Source organism: Homo sapiens, chromosome 12, assembly GCF_000001405.40.
Source record: "Homo sapiens chromosome 12, GRCh38.p14 Primary Assembly".
Lineage (NCBI taxonomy): Eukaryota > Metazoa > Chordata > Mammalia > Primates > Hominidae > Homo > Homo sapiens.
The window spans coordinates 85,482,766-85,492,880 of NC_000012.12; the positions used below are offsets into that span (position 1 = coordinate 85,482,766).

Below are 10,115 nucleotides of genomic sequence, written 5' to 3' on the forward strand. Positions count from 1 at the left end.
AAGCACAACATGTTCAGAGATCTAAGATAATTTGATATTGACAAGCATTTGTTAATGGTACAAAGTATAATGAGTCTGTATTTGATGGTAGAAAATCTGCCATTAGTAGTTAAGCCATCATCATAACAGCTGTTTGACAACAGAAAGAGCTTGTTAGTATTTATTCTGTTTGGCTAAAGTATCAATTAATACTGAACCAATCAGCCAGCCAGCTAAAAAGAAACATAAAAAATGCAAAGTTCTTTTCTTGCCTTTTCAATATAATTTGAAGCCATCAAAATTAAATTGAATGTTATAATTAAAACACATTACACAAGTGTGTTTAATAAAGACTAAAATTCTCTATTAAAAGTGAACAGGAACCAGAGAAACATTTATAATGCAAAATAACTCTAAACTGACAACAGTAAACTGCTGTTGCATAGAAATTGGAAAGTGATATTGTTTAATGTCAACAAAGGAGATGCCGAATACCTTCTTTAAAGAGGCTTGAAAGAAATAATTTACCATGGAAACTCTGCCCAATTCCAGAGACTGCATGTGCTTTCATACAGTGAGAAAATCTGTGAGATTCCAACTCTTTGTAGAATGTGAGAGGAGTAAAATGGCTGTCCTCATTCCCCACTTTAATTTGAGCAATCCAGAATTTACTATGGAGTGTTCCACTGAACAAGTAGCTACACAAAACTTGAATAGGGGTATCTAAGAAACAACAGCTACATAGACAACCAAAGAACGCTTGCTCAAAGAAGTCTGGGAAATGATGAAGTGAACAACACTAAACCTCACCGCAGGATCTCATAGAGCCTTTAACATTTGAGATGTCCTGAGAAGCTCCAAAAGGTGAATGGAGTTCCTACCAGTTCCCAAAATTTGCTTGACAAAAGTAAACCCTCTTTTTTTGCATAGGGTATATTATGGCATTAGGACTCACTGGAAAATATTAATACAATCAGAATTTAACTAAAAACAAGAAATTTCAAATTTATATAAATTGCTTCTTTGAATTTTAGGTTTCTAAGAAATATAGCAAAGGTAAAAACTATGTAATATGTAATATGCGTAAACTCTTTTCCTTGTTTGTGCACTTATACCAAATTTAACTCAAGTTTCCTACCTCATTGATAGGGGATAGGCAACAAGGAAATCCCAAATTCCTGGAAAATTGCTTGATTATATAGCAATAATTTATTAATTGTCTTTTAACATAGGGGTATTATCCTTCCAGTAGCATAATGTCCAAGAATGCTACAGTGGGATCCAGTCTGGGTTTGCATCTTGGCTCAGCTACCTACTAGTTGTAACCCCTTAAAAAACTTATTTAATGTCTTTATACTTCTTTTTCTTCACCTGTGAAATGAGAATAATAATAATGTACCTATATCATAGGTTATTAAGCAGACATCAAATACATGTTATAAGTATTGCTTATATATAAGTGTGTATAAGTATAACTAAAGGTATGACTTACAGTTTTTTTAAAAGAATAAGTAGCACTAACTCCTCAATCAACCCCACAATTTTTTTATCATCTTACATCAAAAGTTCACACAAGAGTCAGACCTGAAGAGCTGTGTTTATCCTTTGAACCTTACCTTGGCACCTCCTAACTTTTAAAGAGCATCTTCAAATAAGATACTCCCAAGTACTACTTGAAGAGTAAGAGTAAATAAAGTAAGAGAGACTGTAGAGGGCCTATGAGTCTGAAACCCCCTGCAAAAACTTCAAGATAATGTAACTCTATACAAGCTTTTTCAGAATGATCTGTTCACTCCCACTGATGCAGCAAAGGACCTTGTTCGTGCTAGGACCAAGAATAGCTATACAGTTGCACATCCTCTAGTTGTTTCAGGTCTGTGATACTCTCTGATGTGTACCCTTCATGCCACTCAAGTTATTTCCTCCCTGAGAAAATGAAAATTAGAAGAAAAAGGGTGTGTGTGATCAAAATGTTCCATCATCTTCCTTCCTTGGGAGCCATCATTTTAGGACAAGGAGACTTCTCTTTTGTCTTTCCATTTCTCACCTAAAGTTTCCATGGTTGTTGGCCTAAAATAATTCTAAAAGTCCTAAAAGATATGCATGTTTCTTTTATTGTGACCTTAAGGGAATTCTTAGAGACAGTTAGTTGTACTACTCCTTTTCTCTCTGAAACTCTCAATTCTTCTCCTTTCAACTTGTGTGTGCTGTGCATAAAATCTGTGAAGGATAAGAATAGTGGTTTAAAAATATTTCAGCTGTTCCTAATATGTAAAATAGTCTAAAATACCCCTCCTTTACCTCTTTATTTTTCCTTCTCCTTTGAGGAGTAGATTTTTGGTAAATTTCATTTTGGGACACTTCAGGCATTTTTTTCACAAAACTTAATTATAAATCTAGTGATATTACTTTTGAAAGGCAATGAAAAATAGAAATTTAAATTTCTAGAAAACATTGCATTTTTACTGACTCTTCCAAATGTTATGCTATACTTTTGAGAAAGTTTTTTTTTCAATCAGGTTATTGAGATTCTCAGTGTTGGAAAATTATTAAAGAAGAAACAGTATAAGCAATTGACATTTCCTTTTGGGGATTTTGCCCAGGATTTAGGAAAATGAATGAGGCATGTGAGAAACATTAACAAGGCAGTGTTAGCACATTATAGAAACATAACTATGCATTATTTCCTAAAACTAGTACAAATTTTAAACAGTAGATATTTTAAGAGATAAAGATATAAGCTTACTGCAGCATAAAAGACGGTAAAAACCTGTTATCGAACTCCAAATATACTAAGAAACAGCAGTGGAATGAGTAATTCTTTCATGAGGAAAAAGTGAGCCATTATTACTGATCAGTTCTGCTTCTGTGTGCCTGTTTAACCTTCTACTTCCTCTCCTCTTTCCACAGTGGGAACTGGAAGGGAATTGAAGTATCTGGGGCACCTGTTTCTCTGGTAATGTAACAGCCTATAATTTCCACTGGGGCGAGATCCTCATCAAACCTCAGGGCAAAGCTATTTTGCCTGCAGTTTCTGAGCCATCGATCATGTCCTTAAATATGACTTGCTTCTATGAGATTGCTTTTGAGGATGATGAAAGGAGAGTTTATTTAGAGGCACCTGTGCCTGCTAGGTGATACTACCTAATTTTGAGCTAAACAAACAAACAAACAAAATACTCTGTAGATAAAATATACAGCATCTTTTTTTCTTGTTGGATTCTTGAAAAGCCAGTATTCCACATTTGAGAGGTTTAAAATCAGAGCTGACAAATGCAGGATTTTAATTGAAGTATTTTATGTAAATAGTAGTATACACTTGTCCAGATATGGAATGAGGTTCTGTTAGGATAATTTCAGTTCTTTAGGAACTGTTCATCTTACATCATCATTTTAGTTAGAATAAAGACATCCTTTATGTGGTATTCATTGTAAGTAAATTAGTAATTTTTCTTTCATAGTTTATATGTACTGTTGGTTGTATTATTCTGAAAAGCCTGTACTAAAATTCAAGCTGCCATTATGTATATATTTTTAAATGAGAACTCTTGCATTTCTTACTTGTGTATAACGAAATACCAATGCCTGAAAAATCTGCTGAAAATCTCTGTTAATACAGTACAATTAAATATGGTTATCAAGGAAATAGGTGAACATAAATTTTAAAAAGTGCTTATGCCCAGAGAAACATGTTTCTTTTTTTCTACAAAAGTCTTTAAAGTAGCCCTGAGGAGACAAATGACTGGACATCAGTCTATTATCATTTGGAGAATGTGACATAAGCTCCAGTTTTATTTCCTTTAGAGTTGAAAAATGATCTGTATTTTCCCTGATCTCCTTCACAGTTTATTCTCGTGTAAGTATAAAGTATATATTTTAAAAATATTGTTTAGCTTGCATATCTGGCCACTTGATGACATGAATTATAAATCACAGTATAAAATAGTGTTTTTCCTGGCCAATCAGAGAAAAAAAGAGACAATGAATGCCTTTATTTCATTTCATTGGGGGCTGGTGAAAATTAAATGTAATAAAGGCTACAGCTCTAAATGGACATGATCAGATACAATTGCATTGGAAAGTCAGAGGACAATATTAACAAAAAGCACTTTTTTATTAGGGGATTCCATTCTTAAATGCTAACACATTTAAAAATAATAAACTGTGTTAATACATAAATATATACTACCTATATCTTTTTAAAAATGTTTTTAAATTGTCATGGCTTATTGGGCACAGAGGGACACCTCTTGTGACAATTATAAAATCTCCCAGTTGAATATGAATTATGTGTAAAGAGAAAGTATGTTTTGCCTCTGTATTTTATACACAATGGCAAAAAAATAAGAACCCATTAATTTAGAAAATAGACAATGAGATACTCTCTAATTAAATAGAAAGTTTCAGGAACTGGACCTTTGCTTCTCTCTTGCCCATCCCAAACATGTGGATGAATAAGCTCAGTGCATTAGGGATTGGAATTTAGTCTAGGGTAATTTAGATCATAGAAAGTAGGAATAAGCAGTGGTACCTGAAACATATAACTCTAGGGAAAAAATATATATAGTGTAAAAAGTAGTCTCCATTTGGAGAGATTATGACTTGATTTATGTATTTTGCTAGGATTGAATTTTACTAAATTACAGTTTTCAATTTTTCTGTATTAATAGAGATACCTCATTAGGCAATTTGGTGTGCCTAACATGTACTATGACTAATACTGTTAATGCTTTCAAAATTGGACATAAACACTAGGAGATAGTCATCTAAATTGACTTAATCATAATTTAATTACTGTATACTAAGGCACACCCATTACAAAATTCAGACCCATACTGGCCAAATAATGGATTACAAATAACAGTGTGATCATGCAAGACTGAATAATAAACTCACTTATAGATGACTGAGAAAAGATTTTAGGAAAAATTCATAGGATAGTTGTAATGAAGAAGAAAACTCCACTTTTTAAATTTAGAATCTCAATTTTCCAGTCTCCTATTTTTCTAGTTTGATGATTGATGAGGAACCAATTACACTTTTGGCTTCCAGAATATAAATAGAAACTTATGACAACATATCCTAACTCTTGCAGCTTCAACAATTGGATACTCAATTTCTTTTTTCTATGATAATAAAATTAACAGAAAGAGACCAAAACATTTTTAACCATTAATACTTTATTGCAATAAGCACAATTTCTGACGGGAGGTGCTCATATGCCATGGAGAAAATTCATTCCCAGTTTTTCCAGATCACAATCAATCTTTCTTGTGACAGTAAAAGGTTTGACCTTCTTAGAAAGTTGTGGGATAAGAGGAGTCTATTGTTAGGACACAGGTTTAAATATATTCAAGTCCGGACTGTTCTACCAAAAATATTTTTTATGTGAGTGCAGTAAGAAACTGTTTCAGATTAAGCTCACACTTTCAATTTGGCTCCATAAATGTGTATAGAGCATATAGTGTTTCTAAAGCACAATACTGGGGATTAAAGTCAGTTCCAGGCATCAGCCGATACGACGCTTGAACCAACCATGATCCTTCAGAGTCCTCTTTAAAACAAAGCTTACTGTATGAAGATTATAATCCATGGATGCTTAAGCAAAAAGGGGATGAAAAAAAGCAAGTAAAGTCAAGGACATTGCTCCAATGCTTCACATTGCTCTCTGCACACAATCTAAATTTTTTACCTTGAAGTACAACTTACTCCAGGGCTTGGTTCCCCAACTTACTCCAGAGCTTGGTTCCCCATGTGGGGCCAACCCACATGTCTGCCCTCCTGTTTATTATTTTTCCTTACTATTGCCTTTCCTAAAACCTCTAGATTAATCATATTCTTTCATTACGTGGTTCATTCAATATCACTCTTTCGCTGTAAAAACCTTCCTTCATTTTAAGATCTGGATGAGGTAATAAGTCCTTGGAAACCTCTTGTTTCCTCAGGGAAAGTTGCCCCATTCTCTGCATTTCTAGAGTTTATTGCTTATAGCACTGTAACTGTGTTTATCATATTATGTTGTAACTTAAAATATGCAAGTTTGTCTCTTGAGAGCAAGAACCTTGTATTATTAATCTTCACATATTCAGTATTAAGAATATCAAGCATATACTATTCAAAAAATGTTAAATGTTCATGGAGGATAAGATTTTTTTTTCTGGAGGGAATCTCATGAGCTAGTAAAAAAAACAAGCATAAAAGAAATAAACAGAAAAGACTACAACACAAGAGTAAGAGCTAACTTTCATTATGTCCTTACTCTATGCTAATTACTGTACTAAAATATGTTCATGAATTATATTGAAACTTCATGCCGATTTTAGAAAGTAGGTATTATCACTATATCCATTTTATATATTGCACTGTGCTTTCACATGACATTGACATTTCTTTGTTGTTTCTCTAATCCACGTTAGACTGTAAAGTCTTTGACTACATGGACTGTATCTGGCACTGCTTCATCCTCAGAATCTTATATGGTGCCTAACACCTAATCAATAATCAAAATACTGGTTGATAACATTTGTTAAGGCATTCATGCATGAATCAAAGGATTCCTTTTACCCAGTGTTTTAAAGATTATGACAGCACATGCTTATGTAATGCTTATGTTGTGCCAGATGCTGTTCTAAGTGCTTTACAAATATTAGCTTACCAAACCCTCACCACACCTTGGGAGCCAGCTTTTGTCCCGGTAAACTGAGTAATATTTTACAGATGAACAAACTGAAGCACATATAGGTAAAGCAATTTGGCTAAGGCCATATAGCTAATTATGTATTGTGGATAAGGCTCTTAAAGTTGAACTGAGATAAAACCTAGACAATGAAATCAGCCATGCAAAATCTACTAAAATGACAATTTAGAGATTGTAAATAGTTTTAAGTGGTTTAATGATCATTTTTCATCTTTCTTATCTGGTGAACCCTTAGCTTATTTTGACAAATTTTCTTTATTTTCTCTTATCGCTAACCTGTGCTGTAAGCTTAGCTCTCCATTGTTGATACAAAGAACATGCTCTCTACATATTGCCCGGGATTTATCTCTGAAATTTCTCCTTAAGAAATAGAATTTTTGTTACAATAACCTAGAATGTACTGTCTGTCTGTCAATTGCCTTTCTAATTTCTGTTCCTAATTAGCATTGAATAAGTTTGTGTGTACTGGAAATAGCCAGAAATAAGATCTTTCAAATGTAGATATGGCTCCTATGATAATTGGGCTATTGAATTTTGCATATCTCTTCACTTCTAAGTAGGCAGAAAAATCTTTCATGCATATTTACCACATTGTTCAAAATTTCTTTCTCCAACAACTTCTTTTTCTTAATTTGTTCCAAAAGTGTCTCTTGTTTTTCAAATAAATTTATTTAATATAGATAAAATTGTATGTATTTATTATGTAAAAAATGATGCCTTATGGGACATATACATTGTAGAATGATAAAATCTAGATAATTAACATATACATCAGCTCACATAATTATTATTTTTCTTGTGAGAACAGTTAACGTTTGCATTCTTCAGTGTATCTTCATATACTATAGTCATTATGCTGTATAACAGACCTCTTGAATTTCTTTCTCCTATCTACCTGCAATTTTGTATCCTTTTACCAAATTCTCCCCCTGGGCCCTGTCCAGTACAACTTCCACAGCCTCTAGTAAACACCATTCTACTATCTGTTTCTATGAGATCAACTTTTTTAGATTCTACACATAAGTGAGCTCATGTGATATTTGTGTTTCTGTGCCTGGCTTATTTCACTTGTCTTTCAGGTTCATCCATATTGTTACAAATGACTGAATTGCCTTCTTTTAATGGCTGAATTTTATTCCATGTGTTACCACATTTTCTTTTTCCACTCATCTGTTGATGGACACATAAATTGACTCCAAATCTTGGCTATTGTAAATAGTGCTGAAATAAACACTGGAGTGTAGATGTCTCTTTACATACTGATTTTATATCCTTTGGATTTATACCCTATAGTGGTATTGCTAGATCATATTGTAGTTCTAGTTTTAATTTTTTGAGGAACTTCTATACTGCTTTCCATAGTGGCTGTACTAATTTACATTTCCACAAACAGTGTGCAAATGTCTCTTTTCTCCATATCCTTTCCTAATACTCATTTTTTAAGTTTTTAGTAATAATCCTTCTAACAATAATGAGGTGATACCTCATCATGGTTTTGATTTGCATTTTCTTGATGTTTAGGCATGTTGAGCATTTCTCATATATGTGTTGGCCATTTGTGTAGCTTTGCTTTAGAAATGTCCATTCAGGTCTTTTGTCCACTTTTAATTATTTGTTTTCCTGGTATTGGGTCACCAACTTTATAATATATTTAGGATATTCCCCTTATATGATATATAGTTTGCAGATATTTTCTCCCATTCTGTAGATACTCTATCCACTCTATTGATTGTTTTCCTTCCTGTGCTAAATAAACATTTTTGTTTGATATAATTTCATTTTTCTATTTTTGCTTTTGTTTTCTCCGCTTTTAAGGTCAGATCCAAAAAATTATTGCCCATACCAATGTCATGAAGCATTCCACCTATCATTTCTTCTAGTAGTTTCATAGATTCAGGTCTTATATTTAAATTTTAAATTCATTTTGAGTTGATTTTGTATATGGTGTCAGATAAGGGTCTAACTTGATTCTTCTGCATGTGGAGATCCAATTTTCCTGGAGCCATTTATTGAAGAGACTATTCTTTCCTCATTGAGTGTTCTTGGCAACTTTTTGAGAAAATAATCGGCTGTGTAAACATGAATTTATTTATAAGATTTCTATTCTGTTTCATTGGTCTATGTGTCTTTTTATATCACTACCATGCTGTTTTGAGCCATCCTTGCAGCCCTGGGATGAATCTCACTAGATCATGGTGAATAATATTTTTTAATGTTCTGTTGAATTTAATGTACTGTTGAATGTACTATAACTTTATAGTATGTTTTGAAGTCAAGTAATGTGGTGCTGCTAGCTTTGTTCTTTTTTCTCAAGATTGCTTTGGCGATTCAGAGTCTTTTGTGGTTCCATATAAGTTTTAGGATTTTTTTTACTATTTTTGTGAAAAATGCCTCTGCTATTTTGATGGAAATTGCACTGAATCTGTAGATTGCTTTGGGCAATATAGACATTTTAACAATATTAGTTCTACTCCATTAACATGGATGACTATTTCATTTATTTGTGTCATTTTCAATTTCTTTCATAAATGCTGTATAGTTTTCAATGTAGATATTTTTCACCTGCTTGGTTAACTTTATTACTAAGTTTTTGTGTTTTTTTGTAGCTACTGATAGTTTGCTGTTAATACACAGAAACACTATAGATTTTTGAATGTTAATTTTGTATTTTACATCTTTATTGAATTTATTAGTTCTAACAATTTTGTTTTCAGTGGAGTTTTATATTTAAGGTGGTATAAATGTAAGACAGTGTCATTTGCCAATAGGAATAATTTAGCTTCTTCCTTTCCATTTTGGATGCCTTTTATTTCTTTCTCTTGCCTAAATGCTCTGGCGAAGACTTCCAAAACTATGTTGAATAGAAATGGTAAGAGTGAGCATCCTTGTCTTGTTCCAGATTTTAGATGAGATCTTTCCATTTTTTTCCAATTGACTATGAATGTTAGCTGTGGTTTTGCCATACATGGTCTTTATTATGTTGAGATACATTACTTCAAAACATAATTTGTTGAGTTTTTATCATGAAAGGATGTTGAATTTTGTCAAATGCTTCTGTGTATCTGTTGAACTGATCATATGGTGGTTTTTGCCCTTCATTCTCTTAATATGATGTATCATGATTTTTGATTTGGGTATGTTGAGCCTTCCTTGGATCCCTGGGATGAATCTCACTTGATCTTGGTGAATAATCTTTTTTAATGTGCTATCGAATTCAGTTTTTTAGCATTTCTTTGAGGATTTTTGCATTTATATTCAGCAAGGATAGTGAATTATCATTTTATTTTTGCTATATCTTTGTCTGATTTTGATATTATGGTAATTATGGCCTTATAAAGTAGGTTTTCAAGTATTCCTTTCTCTTCAGTTTTTTGGAAGAGTTAAGTCATCAGTTTCTGTAGGCAGCACATAGTTGGTTTTGATTGTCTATCCATTCAGC

General features: G+C 32.8%; 1 long non-coding RNA gene across 2 annotated transcripts in view; it reads left to right on the forward strand.

Annotated features, from left to right (window-relative positions):
- Positions 1-7,362, forward strand: part of LINC02820 (long intergenic non-protein coding RNA 2820) — a 172,109-nt gene extending 164,747 nt beyond the window's left edge. For both annotated transcript variants that reach the window (NR_183553.1, NR_183554.1), the window contains one exon: positions 2,890-7,362. This is a non-coding gene — a long non-coding RNA (long intergenic non-protein coding RNA 2820). The remainder of the gene's footprint in view (positions 1-2,889) is intronic.
- The last annotated feature ends 2,753 nt before the right edge of the window (positions 7,363-10,115 follow it).